The following is a 15,923-nucleotide window of genomic DNA, read 5'->3' as shown; positions in this document are numbered from 1 at the left end:
GCAAAAACGCTGAAGATTAGATTCCTCAGCAGATACTGACCCTGCGTTCAACTCAACTGTTGAGAACGGGGGCATTTCCACTTCAAAGGAACACACGATCGAGGCACCAACACCAACCACGAAATACAGGGACGCGGGCGAGGACCTCTCTTTCCGAGAGATCGGGAAATGGCTTCAAAGTCGCAATGATGCCCCCACCCTGAGGTGCAGATCACACAAGGATCCGTGGCCGTTTTCTCCTGTCGGAATTGGTCTAGGGAATCTCGAGTTCATGCTAGTTTTAAAAAAAACTCTGCCAAAGAACAAAACCACCCACGACAAACACCCCAACTTAAGGGATTTCGTGGCAAGACTTCCCACTCTTCCCCCTCAACCCACCTCTTTCCACTCAAGAAACCTAAACCCCCAAAGACCTCGTCTCGGGCTGAGAACCCCGCTGCCCAGGGACCTGTCCGCCCGCAGGCCACCCGGGACCCAAGCAAAACAAACTCGGCCACCAGAGTGAACTCGCCCGCTCGCCGGGCTCCACACCCAAGACGCCGACCGAGCACGGGGAAGCGCTTTTCGCCACTGAAAGGACCGACGCCGTCCAGACTTTACCCTAAGGGCCAACAAGCAGGGGGATGGCCTCCTTTTCGCGAGAACCTCCAACGAGACCGGACTTTTCTCGGAGGCGCAGTCTCCTCCAGCCCCGTCCCGCTCCGCACCGGCTCGCGTCTCGGGATGGGGACGCAGAAGCCTCCTCGCCCTGAGGCCAGTTGTGGCTGTACCGGGCGCTGTGGAAGCGACGCCCCCCCCGCGCTCTCCCGCGCCGCCCGACAGGACCCCCCGGCCGGGCCTCGCCATGACAGCCCCGCCGCCCAGCCTTGGTCACCTTTTTCATCAACGCCGGGCGGCAGCCTGGCTTCCCGGGGCCTCCCCGGGTGCCCGCAGAACCAGCCGGGCCGGGCAGCCCCGGCCCCCGAGCGCCGGCTGCAGGGAGGCCGCAACGCCGGGCTGGTCGTCCGCCTCGGAAGCGACTGGTCGAGCGGCGCTAGCCCCGGCACGTCCCCTCCGCGGGCCGGCGCGCGGCTGCGGGGGCTGCGGACGCAGATACTGCCGCCACTCACCCTAGCGAAGCCGGCCCGCCGCCCTCAGCAGCAGTTCCGGCTACGGCGGCCGGTGGGGACCTCACGGACGGCGCGCGGGGGCGGGGCCGGGGTGCGCGGGCGCGCGGGGCGGGGCGACGAACGCGGGGGCGAGCACCCCCAATGTTTCTTCGGGCCCGTCTCCCCAAAACGGCGCTCCCATTGGCTAGCGCTGGGCGGGCGCGCTCGCACGTACGAGCCCGGTGGGCGTCGGGGGCGAGCCCGCGGCGCCAGTAGTGTTGTGACGCCAGCCTCGCGACCTTGCGGACTGTGCGTCTCTTTGGATTGGTGGACAGACAGCCAATAGGCCAGGGCCCGTGCTGTGATTGGCCGCAGCAGTGTTGACGGATACGTGAGAAGAAAACGGCGTGGTAGCTCGGAGTGTGGAATCGGGCGCGAACCTGAGTTCTGAGAAGTGTGGAAGCACGTCTGAGGCAGTTAAGCGCACCCTTTCCTGGGTGGAGTATGTGCTTCTGCGCTACGTTAGCGTAGCCGAGCGGCGCTGGGCACTTGGTCATTTTCTTCATAGCAAGAAAGCAGAGGGGTGTTTTTCAAATTCCAGTGTTTCTTTCTTTCTTTTTTTTTTTTTTTGAGACGGAGTTTCGCTCTGTCGCCCAGGCTGGAGTGCAGTGGCGCAATCTTGGCTCACTGCAAGCTCCGCCTCCCAGGTTCAAGCGATTCTCCTGCCTCAGCCTCCCGAGTAGTTGGAATTACAGGCGCGCGCCACCATACTCGCTAATTTGTGTGTTTTTAGTACATACGGGGTTTCACCATGTTGGCCAAGCTAGTCTCGAACTCCTGACCTCAAGTGATCCGCTCGTCTCAGCCTCCCAAAGTACTGGGTTTGCAGGCGTGAGCCACCGCGCCCGGCTCAAATTCCAGTGTTTCTTTTTCTTTTCTTTTTTTTTTTTTTTGACTCGCTCTGTCGCCCAGGCTGGAGTGCAGTGGCCCGATCTCGGCTCGCTGCAGTCTCCGCCTCCCGGGGCTCAGGCGATTCTCCTCCCTCAGCCTCCTGTAGCCGAGACTAGAGGCGCCACCGCGCCCGGCTAATTTTTGTAATTTTTTAGAGACAGGATCTCGCCTTGTTGCCAAGGCTGGTCTCGAACTCCTGGGCTCCAACGATCCGCCCGCCCCAGCCCCCAAGAGCTGGAAGCCCAAGCGCGAGCCCCGCGTCCGGCCGCCAGCTGCTTTCTTGGGGGCGCTCCCTGCCTCGCTTGGCTCTGTGGAGTCCGGGGCCCGGCGATGGAACAGGCCCTCAGTCACCCAACACCTCAGGACACTGCCGAGCGCATCGACTTTCCCAGAAACGCTTGACCCACGCCCTCCGCTCCGAAACTAGAAAAGCGGAGCCCAGGGAAGGCCTGGGCCGAGACCGCCGCGTGCTGGAAAGGCTCCGCCTCGGGATGCACGGGAAGGGAACACGCCCAGGAGGGGAGGATGCCGCGGTTGATCGGGGCTGTGACAGCGCGCCCTCCACACAAAGGGGACCCAGACGCCGGCCCTGCGCCGCCGTCTCTCCTAGAAAAAGCTCGTCCCGCTTCTCTCTTGCAGAGCGGAATAACCTGGCCCCCGACGCTCGGGCCTCGGAGCTGCACGTGCGTGCCCGATCGCCTTCGGCTCTTTCCGGCCGCTCGGGGCGCTTCGGGAGTCCTCGGGGCCGCCTCGCTCACCTTCGGCTATTTCCGCGTTCCTGGCGCGCCGTTGTCCCGGCAACGCGCGGCGGCTCAGCGGCCTGGCAGAGGTGAGTGGCCTTAGGGCTAGGGCGGCCGACCCAGGTCCTTAGGAGCCAGGCCGGGGTTTGGGGCCGAGGATGTGACCGGTGGCGGGCGTCGGGACCCTCCCGTCTCCTCCCACGATCCCGGCGCCGCCGAGTCCCCGCGGCCCCTCGCGAGTCCCATCGAGGCTGGGGCGGGCTTGGCGCGGGGTCCAGGTCGCTCGTCGGACTATGGCTGTCGCCCCCGCCCGGCCTCGAATCGCGGCTGATTCCGGTAGCTGGGAGAGTCCCTTTGGAATGGGCGGGGTGGGGAGGTGGGCGGCGCCATCACACCCCCGAGGCGAAACGGGACAAACGAGAGATGCAAAACAAAAACATGCTATGTTTGGTCACTCGCTGGGTCGGCCCTGAGGGTCGTGTTGCATCAAACCGCCAGCGCATGGCTTCTCAGTACCGTCCGCTGGATGCAGCGAGGACCCTGCGCAGGCCGAAGGCTCTGGACTGTGGCCTGGAGGGCGAGGCTTTGTAGGGTGGCCCCGGGTGCCTGTCCCCGAGAGTCCACCGTGGAGCCCCATCCCGGAGTTCCCTACTCAGCGTCACCGAGGAAGGCTACTCAAAGCCCTGTGACCCCGTGCCGCTTAGCTGAATGGGCTTAACAGATTCTTTCCCAAAAGCTGGTTTGATGGAGGCACTTGTAGAGGCTCTGGAGACGCTGGACGCCTGAAAGTGAGAGGAGTACTTCGGTTAGAATAAATACAGTTTTTCTCCTGTTCCCCAAAGTTGATGTATTTCCCGGTTTTATGTTCCAGAGACTGGAACTTTGTTTCAAGAAAAGGAAAGGTACTTGTTTCCGACCTGAAGCTATTACAGATTGTCATCAAGTACATAACTATTTTATTGTCAGCCATCTCTCCTCCTTGTGTTAACTTTTTAAATTATACTGATAATACTCATTTTGGGAACTTGTTAAGAGGCCGTTGAAAGGAACTATGAACAATTATATTAATGCATTGTGTATGGAACTCATTCAGGCAGGCCTGGAACCCGTTTCTTATATTGATACAACAGGAAGAATCTCTCTCCTTGCTAAGTTTCATCCGCGCAGGGCCTGTTCTGTGCAAGGCACTGTTGTAAGGAGGTGGGAATACTGGGTGCCTCCTGCTCTCTGGGGAAGATAATATGGGGGGCAATGTGTGAGCAGTGAAACTCACATTTACGGTAAAGTCTAAATGCAGCCACGGAGAAGCGCAACGTTGTGTGGGGACACTGGGCAAGAAGCACACGACAAAGGTAAAGCCATCAAGCCCTGAGAGAGCTCCCTTACCCAAAGCCGGGGGGAACCTTGAAAAACCCCAGGCAGGAAAGAAAGCAATTAGGGCCGTTTGCCTTCATAGTTATTGCACAGTGTCGTATTAATGTATCACTCATTTTTCAGAGAAATATTTTCACAGAGTAAACTTATTAGATCCTAATTTCCCTTAGCCCAGGATTTGTAACCTTGGGGCTGGCTGCAACATGTTAAAACCCCCTTTTTTTTTTAAACAGTTTTGCTCTGTCGCCCAGACTGGAGTGCAGTGGCAAGATCTCGGCTCACTGCAACCTCCGCCTCCTGGATTCAAGCGATTCTCATGTCTCAGCCTCCTGAGTAGCTGGGATTACAGGCAGGCACCACCACACCCAGCTAATTTTTGTATTTTTTAGTAGAGAAGAGGTTTCATCATGTTGTCCAGGATGGTCTCGATCTTCTGACCTTGTGATCCACCCGCCTCGGCCTCCCAAAGTGCTGGGATTACAGGCATGAGCCACCATGCCTGGCCAAAACTCATTTTAAGAGGTAATCCCAGCTACTTGGGAGACTGAGGCAGGAGGATCACTTGAGCCCAGGAGTTCAAGGCTACAGTGAGCCATGATCACACCACTGCTCTCCAGCCTGGGGGCCCTGTCTCTAAACAATATATATTTTTTAATTTAAAGGTTTCTTTTGCTATTTTAAATTGCCCAGGTTTTGATCTGGAGTGTTTGTTTGTTGTTCGGGTTTCTTTTTTTTTTTTTTTTTTTTGAGGCGGAGTCCTATTCTGTTGCCAGGCTGGAGTACAGTGGCGCGATCTCAGCTTACCGCAACCTCTGCCTCCCAGGTTCAAGTGATTCTCCTGTCTTAGGCTCCGGAGTAGCTGGAATTACAGGTGCCTGCCACCACACCTGGATAACCTTTTGTATTTTTAGTAGAGGCGGGTGGCGTTCGCCATTTTGCCCAGGCTGGTCTCGAACTCCTAAGCTCAGGCAATCTGCCCACCTCGGCCTCCCAAATTGCTAGGATTACAGGCATGAGCCTGTATAATTTTAAATGGTGGCAAACCCGGCTACAAGTATGTTCTTCTCTGCCAGTTAACTTCCCCAAATTGACTGAGGTGTAAAAAAGTGAGCAGTAACCAGACCGTCACTTTATTTATCACCCTAACCCGCCTGAAAAGGGACGATGTGTATATCTTTTCCAGATCTGAAAGGAAGAATGAAAGAGAGAGATTAAGTTCACGTAAGTGATCAAGCTCAACTTCTCACAGCTGCTGCGGCTGTGCATTCTTGACTCTCTAATAGAGGAAGACTTCTGTCTTCTACCACCTGTGAGTCAGAGGTAAAAGACAGTCTTTGATTTTATGCTTTATTGGAAATTCAGTACTGGTTTTTTTTCTGTACCAGTACTCTTTTCTGGAGCAGTTTGCATTTATTTTGTTTGAAAATGTTGTTTAAAAGGCAGTGGTGGCCCACGGCTGTAATCCCAGCACTTTGGGAGGCCAAGGCAGGAGGATTACCTGAGCCAGGGGTTCAAGACCAGCCTGGGCAACATAGTAAAACCTTGTGTCTACACAAATTACTTAAAAATTAGCTGGGCATGGTAGTGCATGTCTGTAGTCCCAGCTACTTGAGAGGCTGAGGTGGGAGGATCACTTGAGCCCAGGAGTTTGAGGCTGCAGTGAGCCGTGATCACACCACTGCACTCCAGCCTGGGTGACAGAGCAAGACTTGGTCTAAAAAGTTAAAGGGAACTACAGAAATAGAACTTGTCCTTATTGTGACTGGAATGAAAGTTACTGAGGATTGCGTGTGTAGTTAGGCTGCAGGCCTTTTCTTTCTTTCCTCCTTTGATGGCCATGAGTTGTATTCGTTTCTGTCACAGCCTGGGTGATTCCGGGTCTAACTGCTTCTCTTCTGCATGTCTCCCTGTTGGAGATCTCCTCGCATCAGGTTGCCTGCTCAGTCCGCAAGGCATTTTCAAGTTGCCGATGGTCTTCCGATGGTGGCTTTGGGATGCTTCCTTTTCGTCATTCCATGTACAGTCATATTGTTTGTTTTATTTAAAACTGATTGGACTTGGTCATTTTTTTTTCCCTGCAGGTTTCAGCGCTGAGGAGGCCTGAGTTCCGTCATGGCCCTCTATTATGACCACCAGATAGAAGCCCCGGATGCAGCAGGGTCACCCTCATTTATCAGCTGGCACCCTGTCCATCCATTCTTGGCAGTTGCTTACATCAGCACAACCTCAACAGGCAGCGTGGATATTTACCTGGAGCAAGTGAGTGCTCAGAAGCAAGGAGCCTGACTGTGGTAGCTTCTGGCTCATGTTGTTTGTGTTGCTGTTGTCCTTGTGTGTGTGCACATGTGTGTGTGTGCCTATGGGTGTGTGTGTGTATACATGCATCTGTGTGTGCGTGTATGTGTATTGGTGTGTGTATGCGCATATGTATGTCTGCATCTGTGTGTGTGTGCGCACACGTGGGTGTGTGCATATGGGTGTGTGTGTGCATCTGTATGCTTGTATGTGGGGGGGTGTATGCGTGTGTGTGCACACGTGTGTGTGTGTGCGTGTGGTGCGTGTGTGTATTTTCAAACGAACTCTACTCTAGCTTATTCATGAAGAAAACGACATCTATGAGGCCAGGCGCAGTGGCTCACGCCTGTAATCCCAGCACTTTGGGAGGCCGAGGTGGGTGGATCACTTGAGGTTAGGGGTTCGAGACCAGCCTGATCAACATGGAGAAACCCCATCTCTACTAAAAATACAAAATTAGCCGGGCATGGTGGCTCATGCTTGTAATCCCAGCTACTCGGGAGGCTGAGGCAGGAGAATCGCTTGAACCCAGGAGGCAGGGGTTGCAGTGAGCGGCGATCACGCCATTGCGCTCCAGCCTGGGCAACAAAAGCAAAACTCTGTCTCAGAAAAGAAAAAAAAGAAAACGACATCCGTCATCAGTTTTCACAGAGGCCAAATCCCAGGGTTATAAAAGCCCTAGTATGTGGGCAGTTCTTTCACGCTGGCTATTTTGGTGGCTTGGGGACATGTTTAGGAATCCTTCATGCTTATCAGCATTAAGCCACTATCAGTTCACAGTCATCACCAGAAATGTCCCCACAGTGCTGTTTGTGGATCCTGAGGCATCTTCCTCTGTCAGTGCCCTCCTGCACGCTCCATAGGGGCCATTTGGAACTCTAATCATTTCCACAAACTGGGTGGCTTTAAACAACAGGAAGGTATTCTGGCAGCTCTGGAGGCGAGAACTCCAAAATCAGGTGTCAGCAGGGCCCGCTGGCTCTGAAGGCTGAGGGGAGTGTCTGCCCCGAGCTGCTGTCCTGCTCCTGCTGTTCCCAGCAAGCCTTGGTGCTCCCTGGCTGGCAGATGCGCTGCTCCAGCCCTGCCTCTGGTGTCATCCGGCCTTCCCTTCTGTATGTCTGCGTCTCTTCTCCTCTTCCTAAAAGGACATCAGGCATATGTAACTAGGGCCTGCTCTAATGACCTCACCTGAGCTTACCCACATCTGCAAAGACCCTGTTTCCAAAGGACGCCATGTCACAAGGACCAGGGATAGGACTTCCACATATCTTTGTGGGGACACAATTCACCCCCTAACAGAAACGTTCCCCAAGCTCCTCAGACTTCGATAATCACCCTCTCGGTGCCCAGTGCACCTCATATTCCATAAAGAAAATGAGGTGCCAGGTGCGGTGGCTCACGCCTGTAATCCCAACACTTTGGGAGGCCGGGGTGGGTGGATCATGAGGTCAGGAGATCAAGACCATCCTGGCTAACACGGTGAAACCCCGTCTCCACTAAAAATACAAGAATTAGCCGGGCGTGGTGGCGGGCACCTGTAGTCCCAGCTACTCAGGAGGCTGAGGCAGGAGAATGGCATGAACCCAGGAGGCAGAGCTTGCTGTGAGCCGAGATCACGCCACTGCACTCCAGCCTGGGCAACAGAGTGAGACTCCATCTCAAAAAATATAAATAAATAAGAAAATGAGGTTTCCTCCTCTACTCACTCTTCAGCCCTCTGCAGGCTCCCTATTGCCACCACAACTTCACCCAAGCAGCGACAGTCATCAGTTGCTTCTAGGTGTCACCCCCTGAGTGTTTTGGGGTCCTTGTCTGTACCACACTCCTGTGAAGTCCTCTGGGAAACATGCCCGAGAGCGCAGGGGTAGGGCGTTCCCTGCCCGGCCTCCATGGCTTTGCCAGCTCTTCCTCCATTTCCAGCTTGTGAGCACCATGGCCTTCTGCAGAGCTTGGTCAGGGCTCCTCTCCATTTCTTCCTTCTCCTGTGATCTGAGCATCCCCAGTGGCTTGCAGACATACATCTCCTGCCTAGAAGTTCCCTCTGAGCTGTAAGCTTAGGGACCCAGCTGCCTTCCTGACATCTCTAGGGTGTTTCAAGGAGACCTCAGACTGTACAAAACTGAACTGAAATTGTCCCCCACCCTTCCCCTGCCTCATATCTCCTGCTCACTGAGATGGGCACCTCCCATCTCAATGAAAGTCACCCCCTTTATCCTGGTTTCTAGAACAAGAACCTGGGCATGACTGTTGACATTTCCCACTCCCCTACCTTGTAATCCATCACTAGATCCTCCCAGTTTCTCCCCCGGAACCTCTGGCGAGTCTGCTGCTGCTTGCCCTTCCAACCGCCCTTCCCTCCTCCAGGTTCCCATCCCCCTCTCCTGGACACCAGTACAGCTTCCTACTGTGGCAGCTGTGCCCTCACAGGCCTCCTCTACTTTACACGGCAACCAGGCCTGGCCTGTCTTGGCATCACAGATGGAATCACTCCCTGCTCCCACCTCCCCGGCCCTGTGCTGCTCTTTGGGTGAACATGGAGTCCCTGATGTGGCCCCTAGCGCCTCCCAGGTCTGGCTCTGTCACCTGTCACATCAGGCTCACCTTCCTTGATGCTGACACAGCCTTGCACAGCCTTCCTCGGCCTTCCAGCCCTGCACATGCTGTGCCACCTGCAAAGAAGACACTCCTTCATCCATTTTTGTAATTAATGCATTAATCCTTCAGGTGAAAGTGGCTAAGTGGCCCCTTAGGAACTGCTCCCCCCTCCACACACACACACACACACACACACACACACACACACACACACGCCCTTGCAGCGCGATGCAGCGCTGGTCAGCGGCTCCCCTGTTGCCAGCAGGCTCCTCCATATACTGGCAGCTTTGCGAAGGCCGTGCCAGACTTAGGGCTCAGTCCAGCCCCAGCACCAACCCCACTTTTGCCCATTTTTTTGGGTAGATTCTCCCTTGCAGGAGCCTATAACATATATGGTAAATGGGATATTTTTTAAAATAAATATTATTAAATTCCAAAGTTATAGCAATTTTAGGTAAAATTTTTAAATTTAGAAGATCTAAAGCATACTATTATAAAACTAGTCAATAGCATATTTCTGTGTTTCCAGTTGGCACAAGGAAAACTTCAGGATTTCAAAATAGTGATCTATTGGACAATGATGAGATCACAGAAGATGGCTCCTAAGCCCAGTGGAACAACTGGGGGCAAACCAAGTTAATCTCTGAAAACGCACTTATATCTTCCCCAAAGCTGCTGCTTTAGAAAATTTTAGAAAACACAGCACATGGCCGGGCACGGTGGCTCACGCCTGTAATCCCTGCACTTTGGGAGGCCGAGGCGGGCAGATCATGAAGTCAGGAGTTTGAGACCAGCCTGGCCAATATGATGAAACACTGTCTCTACTAAAAATACAAAAATTAGCTGGGCTTGGTGGCGCGCCTGTAGTCTCAGCTACTTGGGAGGCTGAGGCAGGAGAATCGCTTGAACCTTGGAGGCGGAGGTTGCGGTGAGCTCAGATCATGCCACTGCAGCACTCCAGCCTGGGCTACAGAGTGAGAATCCATCTCAGAAAAAAAAAAAGAGGAAACGCAGCACATATCTCACAAGCTGTCATTAGTGACATCACCACATCACACAGCCTTTGAAAAGCTCCACTGTAGACGCGTGAAAGAAGGAGAGTATGAATGGCACTAACCTGTCACTATTATTCTGAAAATAATTTTCACCTTTCAGATCCCTGAAAGGGTCCTGGGGTCTCTGGACAACACTTTGAGATCCCTGGGGCCACAAACCTCACCTGCTGGCTCGCTGGTGGTTTTTGTAGATAAGGTTTTAGGGAACCCAGCCACGCACTAAAATGCGTGCCAGCCATCCAGCAGCCATGGGGAGGAGGTGGCACATCATGACAAGGTGGCACTCCATGAGAAGCTGGTCGGGGTTGCCAGCTGAGCACAAGTTACCTTCTGCTTTGGTAGCTCAGCTAGGGGCAAGGTTGGTGCGTTTTTATGAAAAATTAAAGAGTCTACTGAGAACATTGCCCCATTGCCTTAATAGCTTTTGTACCTTGTCGCCAATGTGGAGTCCACAGATCACACAGAAGTTTTGTTTGTTTGTTTGTTTGTTTTTGGAGACAGAGTCTTGCTCTGTCGCCCAGGCTGGAGTGCAGTGGTGCGATCTGGGCTCGCTGCAACCTCTGCCTCCTGGGTTCAAGCAATTCTCCTGCCTTAGCCTCCCGAGTAGCTGGGACTACAGACGCCCGCCATCACACCTGGCTAATTTTTGTATTTTTAGTAGAGACGGAGTTTCACCAAATTGGCCCAGCTGGTCTCGAACTCCTGACTTTGTGATCCACCCACCTCAGCCTCCCAAAGTGCTGTAATTACAGGAGTGAGCCGCCGTGCCCGGCCTAGACAGAAGTTCTTAAAAGTAGCTGTCCCTCTCTGAACTGTGGGAATTTGCCTCTCATCCAATGCAGGGGGAGTGCGTGCCAGATACACACGTCGAGAGGCCGTTCCGGGTTGCTTCCCTGTGCTGGCACCCGACGCGGCTGGTGCTGGCTGTGGGCTGGGAGACTGGAGAAGTGACGGTGTTTAACAAGCAGGACAAGGAGCAGCACACGATGCCCCTGACACACACAGCCGACATCACCGTGCTCCGTTGGAGCCCCAGTGGAAACTGCCTGCTGTCTGGGGACAGGGTGAGTCAACACGCGCAAGACGCTGTTTTCAGACCTTGACCCTTTCTGACCATGCTCGAGAGTATGAAAGATCAAAATATGGGAACCGTGCTGTTGCCAAATTCAGTTGATCTTGTCAGATGCAATTGTAGATTTTGTTTTATATTGGAAGCAAGGCTTGAAAATTTGCCACTCTGTGGCAAAGGTGTGTCTGCACCTTTATAAATGAACTTTGCTGGGAAACTGCATTCGTAAAGATACGTGCCCAGATACTGTCACTTTTCCCTAGGCCTGTTTGTCTAGCTCAGGGCTTCTTAACCAGGGTTGGTTCTGCCCCCCAGGGGACATGGGGCAGTGTCCAGTCACATTTTCTGTTGTCACAATTTTGGGGGAGGATTCAGCTGGACCCCTGTGGGTGGGTGGTGGATGCTGCCCACCATCACACAGTACACAGGACAGACCCACAGCATAGCGACATGGTGCAGAGGCAACTGAATCACAAATATATGGCAGAAATGTTACAATGTGTTTACTTAAATAACCACAGGTAACACATTCACATGTTCCAAGATTCAAAAAGGGTAACAGGCATCTAGAGTGAAGACTGAGCCATGTCCTGTCTCCTCAGTCCCCTGGCTGCTGCCTTCCAGCACACACAAGTGCATTCTTACCACCTATCCTGCTGCTTCAGGCACACACAAGTGCATTCTTTCTCTCACTTGAGATTTGAAATTTCTACATTATGAGAGGAGTTGAAAGAACAGTGCAAGGACACGCATCCACCCTCCATGTCGATTCGCCCGCTGTTCCCACTGCCAGGTCTGCTTTCCCTCCAGCTACGTGGGTATTTTACCTGAGTATTTGTGAGTTTATCACAGATAACGATGCTTCAGCCCTACATGCTTAGACGCCACTCTCCTGAGGCCTAGGGCATTCCCTACCCAGGCACAGTAGAGTTCTCACACTCCAGGAAATGTAACAGTGACAGTGCTGACATCCAAGATGCAGTTTATGTTCACATTTCTCCAGCTGTCCCAGGAATGTCCTTTAGAGCAGGAATCCAGTAAAGGCTCATACGTTGCATTTCTGTTATTTCTCTCTAGTCTCTCTCTTTTTTTTTTTTTTTTGTGATGGAATCTTGCTCTGTCGCCCAGGCTAGAGTGCAGTGGCACGTTCTCAGCTCACTGCAACCTCTACATCCTGAGTTCAAGCGATTCTCTCTCCTTAGCCTTCTGAGTAGCTGGGATTACACGCATGCACCACCATGCCCAGCTAATTTTTGGTATGTTTAGTAGAGACGGGGTTTCACCATGTGGGCCAGGCTGGTTTCAAGCTGCTGACGTCAAGAGATCTGCCTGCCTCGGCCTCCCAAAGTGCTGGGATTACAGGTGTGAGCTACCACGTCTGGCTAGTTTTTTTTAATCAAGAACAATTCCCTGGTCAGTTGGTTGGTTAGTTGCCTGCATTCCTTCCTTTTTTCCTCCCTTTTTTTTTTTTGGTCTTTCATGAAATTTACATTTTGAGGATGTAGACTGGTTGTTTTATAGACTCTCACTCAAGTTGGCTGTGTTTGTCTCCTCATAATACTTTCATTTCAAACGTTTTTGGCAGAAATATCACGTAGAGGACATTGTCTCCTGATTTCCTCATTCTTTTTCACATCAGTGGTGGCATCCTATACACACTGTCATGTCTCTTGCTTTTTCATTTTACAGCGTATCCTGGTGATTCTTCCATATGGGTAAACAGTAAACTTCCTTGTTTTCTTTAAACCGGCTCTTCTTTATATGAATGTTGTAATTTACTGAACCAGCCCCCTGTTGATTAACATTTTGGTGGTTTTCAATCTTTTGCTAATTAGACAATGGTGCAGTGAGTAACCTTATGCTTTTGCCATTTTGCACCTGTGTACATTTTTTTTTTTTTTAAATTTATTTTTTTATTGATAATTCTTGGGTGTTTCTCACAGAGGGGGATTTGGCAGGGTCATGGGACAATAGTGGAGGGAAGGTCAGCAGATAAACAAGTGAACAAAGGTCTCTGGTTTTCCTAGGCAGAGGACCCTGCGGCCTTCCGCAGTGTTTGTGTCCCTGATTACTTGAGATTAGGGATTGGTGATGACTCTTAACGAGCATGCTGCCTTCAAGCATCTGTTTAACAAAGCACATCTTGCACCGCCCTTAATCCATTCAACCCTGAGTGGACACAGCACATGTTTCAGAGAGCACAGGGTTGGGGGTAAGGTCACAGATCAACAGGATCCCAAGGCAGAGGAATTTTTCTTAGTGCAGAACAAAATGAAAAGTCTCCCATGTCTTCTACTTTCTACACAGACACGGCAACCATCCGATTTCTCAATCTTTTCCCCACCTTTCCCGCCTTTCTATTCCACAAAGCCGCCATTGTCATCCTGGCCCGTTCTCAATGAGCTGTTGGGTACACCTCCCAGACGGGGTGGTGGCCGGGCAGAGGGGCTCCTCACTTCCCAGTAGGGGCGGCCGGGCAGAGGCGCCCCTCACCTCCCGGACGGGGCGGCTGGCCGGGCAGGGGGGCTGACCCCCCCACCTCCCTCCTGGACGGGGCGGCTGGCCGGGCGGGGGGCTGACACCCCCACCTCCCTCCCGGACGGGGCGGCTGGCCGGGCAGAGGGGCTCCTCACTTCCCAGTAGGGGCGGCCGGGCAGAGGCGCCCCTCACCTCCCGGACGGGGCGGCTGGCCGGGCGGGGGGGCTGACCCCCCCCACCTCCCTCCCGGACGGGGCGGCTGGCCGGGCAGAGGGGCTCCTCACTTCCCAGTAGGGGCGGCCGGGCAGAGGCGCCCCTCACCTCCCGGACGGGGCGGCTGGCCGGGCAGGGGGGCTGACCCCCCCCCCACCTCCCTCCCGGACGGGGCGGCTGGCCGGGCGGGGGGCCGACCCCCCCACCTCCCTCCCGGACGGCACGGCTGGCCAGGCGGGGGGCTGACCCCCCCACCTCCCTCCCGGACGGCACGGCTGGCCAGGCGGGGGGCTGACCCCCCCACCTCCCTCCCGGATGGGGCGGCTGGCCTGGCGGGGGCTGACCCCCCCCACCTCCCTCCCGGACGGGGTGGCTGCCGGGCGGAGATGCTCCTCACTTCCCAGATGGGGTGGCTGCTGGGCGGAGAGGCTCCTCACTTCTCAGACGGGGCAGCTGCCGGGCGGAGGGGCTCCTCACTTCTCAGATGGGGTGGTTGCCAGGCAGAGGGTCTCCTCACTTCTCAGACGGGGCGGCCGGGCAGAGACGCTCCTCACCTCCCAGACGGGGTCTCGGCCGGGCAGAGGCGCTCCTCACATCCCAGATGGGGCGGCGGGGCAGAGGCGCTCCCCACATCTCAGACGATGGGCGGCCGGGCAGAGACGCTCCTCACTTCCTAGATGTGATGGCGGCTGGGAAGAGGCGCTCCTCACTTCCTAGATGGGATGGCGGCCGGGCGGAGACGCTCCTCACTTTCCAGACTGGGCAACCAGGCAGAGGGGCTCCTCACATCCCAGACGATGGGCGGCCAGGCAGAGACACTCCTCACTTCCCAGACGGGGTGGCGGCCGGGCAGAGGCTGCAATCTCGGCACTTTGGGAGGCCAAGGCAGGCGGCTGCTCCTTGCCCTCACCTGTGTACATTTAGAAAGCACCAAGAAGGGGGTGCAGATGGGTCCCGGGGCATGCCCTGTGGCTTAGCGGATGCCCAAACCACTGTCCTTGGGGCCTGGGCCGGCTCATAGTGCACACCAGCCTCTCTCCCTAGAGAGTTGCGTGTGAGTAGCAGAACTGCTCAGGAAAGTAGTATCTCAGAGTGTTTTCATCCAGAACAGCTCCCTGGTGGGTCTAAGTGTTTCTTAGAATTTTCATTTATGTTTCTCTTGCTATCAAGGATGAATATCATTTATAGGAGCCATTTGTGTTTCTGTTTTTTTTTTGAGACAGAGTCTCACTCTGTCGCTCAGGCTGGAGTGCAGTGGCGCCATCTCGGCTCCCTGCAAGCTCCGCCTCCTAGGTTCACGCCATTCTCCTGCCTCAGCCTCCCGAGTACCTGGGACTACAGGTGCCCGCCACCACGCCTGGCTAATTTTTTGTATTTTTAGTAAAGACGGGGTTTCACTGTGTTAGCCAGGATGGTCTTGATCTCCTGACCTCGTGATCTGCCCGCCTCAGCCTCCCACAGTGCTGGGATTACAGGCGTGAGCCACCGCACCCGGCTTGTATTTCTATTTCTAATCATATTATTCGCCAAGTTTTTTTTTTATCAGGTTGTTCCCTTCTTCTGGATGATTTTTCTTCCATTTTTCTGTTTAATTCCCACCTAATGACATTGGCCTGTCCCCAGATTTCTACTTCTTTGGTGATCTTTCCTACTTTCTGCAGTGGAACCATCTGCCAATCCCACATTAGTATAAAATAACTCAGGATCATTGACTTTTGTAATTCTCAGCTTGACTGTGTTGAGAAACAAGTAAGCCAGGCATGGTGACATGCACCTGTAGTCCCACCTACTTGGGAGGCCGAGTCAGGAGAATCACTTGAGCCCAGGAGTTTGAGTCTAGCCTGGGCAACATAGCAAGACCCCATCTCTTGAATAAAAGAAAGATAGAAACAGCTAGCAAAATAGATTATCCAGGCATAAAATGAAACCCAGGTATCAGTTGATCAAGTCTTGTGAGTCAGAATATTTAAGAGCAGAAATGCCTAATCCTTCTAAGAAAATCTAAGATTGTGCTGGAACTAATTTAGTAATGAGTTCAAGCAGGAAGAGAAGTAATCAAGAGGGA

General features: G+C 53.8%; 2 protein-coding genes and 1 long non-coding RNA gene across 25 annotated transcripts in view, besides 9 other annotated features; 1 reads left to right on the top strand and 2 right to left on the bottom strand.

Moving 5' to 3' along the window:
- The window catches only part of CRAMP1 (cramped chromatin regulator 1), a 65,549-nt gene extending 64,377 nt beyond the window's left edge, over window positions 1-1,172 (bottom strand). The window contains exon 1 of the mRNA NM_020825.4: window positions 875-1,172. The gene's annotated coding sequence lies outside the window, so the exon portion shown is untranslated. The remainder of the gene's footprint in view (window positions 1-874) is intronic.
- Window positions 276-776: an enhancer, noted in NCBI's record as "H3K27ac hESC enhancer chr16:1662757-1663257 (GRCh37/hg19 assembly coordinates)". NCBI's record gives its function as "activates a minimal SCP1, AML or CMV promoter by ChIP-STARR-seq in naive H9 embryonic stem cells {active_cell/tissue: H9 hESC(naive)}" and the evidence as "EXISTENCE:reporter gene assay evidence [ECO:0000049][PMID:30033119]".
- Window positions 276-815: a biological region, named in NCBI's record as "H3K27ac hESC enhancer GRCh37_chr16:1662757-1663257".
- Window positions 656-815: a silencer, noted in NCBI's record as "silent region_6994". NCBI's record gives its function as "represses an Ori minimal core promoter by ATAC-STARR-seq in GM12878 lymphoblastoid cells {active_cell/tissue: GM12878}" and the evidence as "EXISTENCE:reporter gene assay evidence [ECO:0000049][PMID:35858748]".
- Window positions 777-1,277: an enhancer, noted in NCBI's record as "H3K27ac hESC enhancer chr16:1662256-1662756 (GRCh37/hg19 assembly coordinates)". NCBI's record gives its function as "activates a minimal SCP1, AML or CMV promoter by ChIP-STARR-seq in naive H9 embryonic stem cells {active_cell/tissue: H9 hESC(naive)}" and the evidence as "EXISTENCE:reporter gene assay evidence [ECO:0000049][PMID:30033119]".
- Window positions 777-1,515: a biological region, named in NCBI's record as "H3K27ac hESC enhancer GRCh37_chr16:1662256-1662756".
- Window positions 846-965: a silencer, noted in NCBI's record as "silent region_6993". NCBI's record gives its function as "represses an Ori minimal core promoter by ATAC-STARR-seq in GM12878 lymphoblastoid cells {active_cell/tissue: GM12878}" and the evidence as "EXISTENCE:reporter gene assay evidence [ECO:0000049][PMID:35858748]".
- Window positions 986-1,515: a silencer, noted in NCBI's record as "silent region_6992". NCBI's record gives its function as "represses an Ori minimal core promoter by ATAC-STARR-seq in GM12878 lymphoblastoid cells {active_cell/tissue: GM12878}" and the evidence as "EXISTENCE:reporter gene assay evidence [ECO:0000049][PMID:35858748]".
- Window positions 1,460-15,923, top strand: part of IFT140 (intraflagellar transport 140) — a 101,646-nt gene continuing 87,182 nt past the window's right edge. For 8 of the 23 annotated variants that reach the window (XM_047434970.1, NM_014714.4, XM_011522771.4 and 5 more), the window contains exons 1-4: window positions 1,460-1,564; window positions 2,679-2,868; window positions 6,235-6,412; window positions 10,941-11,162. In XM_047434970.1, coding sequence (XP_047290926.1) covers window positions 6,266-6,412; window positions 10,941-11,162 — 369 coding nt within the window. In that variant the 5' untranslated portion in view covers window positions 1,460-1,564; window positions 2,679-2,868; window positions 6,235-6,265. Of the gene's footprint in view, window positions 1,565-2,678; window positions 4,132-5,335; window positions 5,474-6,234; window positions 6,413-10,940; window positions 11,163-15,923 lie in introns of those variants that run through there. The other 15 variants (XM_006720991.4, XM_047434974.1, XM_047434976.1 and 12 more) reach the window with 9 other exon arrangements.
- Window positions 1,666-1,725: an enhancer, noted in NCBI's record as "active region_10227". NCBI's record gives its function as "activates an Ori minimal core promoter by ATAC-STARR-seq in GM12878 lymphoblastoid cells {active_cell/tissue: GM12878}" and the evidence as "EXISTENCE:reporter gene assay evidence [ECO:0000049][PMID:35858748]".
- Window positions 2,754-3,133: a silencer, noted in NCBI's record as "silent region_6991". NCBI's record gives its function as "represses an Ori minimal core promoter by ATAC-STARR-seq in GM12878 lymphoblastoid cells {active_cell/tissue: GM12878}" and the evidence as "EXISTENCE:reporter gene assay evidence [ECO:0000049][PMID:35858748]".
- Window positions 3,204-15,923, bottom strand: part of LOC105371046 (uncharacterized) — a 29,802-nt gene continuing 17,082 nt past the window's right edge. Inside the window, exons 2-3 of the long non-coding RNA NR_135176.1 lie at window positions 9,050-9,117; window positions 3,204-3,561 (exon numbers count right to left, since the gene is read on the bottom strand). This is a non-coding gene — a long non-coding RNA (uncharacterized LOC105371046). The remainder of the gene's footprint in view (window positions 3,562-9,049; window positions 9,118-15,923) is intronic.

Source organism: Homo sapiens, chromosome 16 (assembly GCF_000001405.40).
Source record: "Homo sapiens chromosome 16, GRCh38.p14 Primary Assembly".
NCBI lineage: Eukaryota > Metazoa > Chordata > Mammalia > Primates > Hominidae > Homo > Homo sapiens.
Note: the sequence above shows the minus strand (reverse complement) of the source record. Positions and strands in the feature narration are given on the sequence as shown.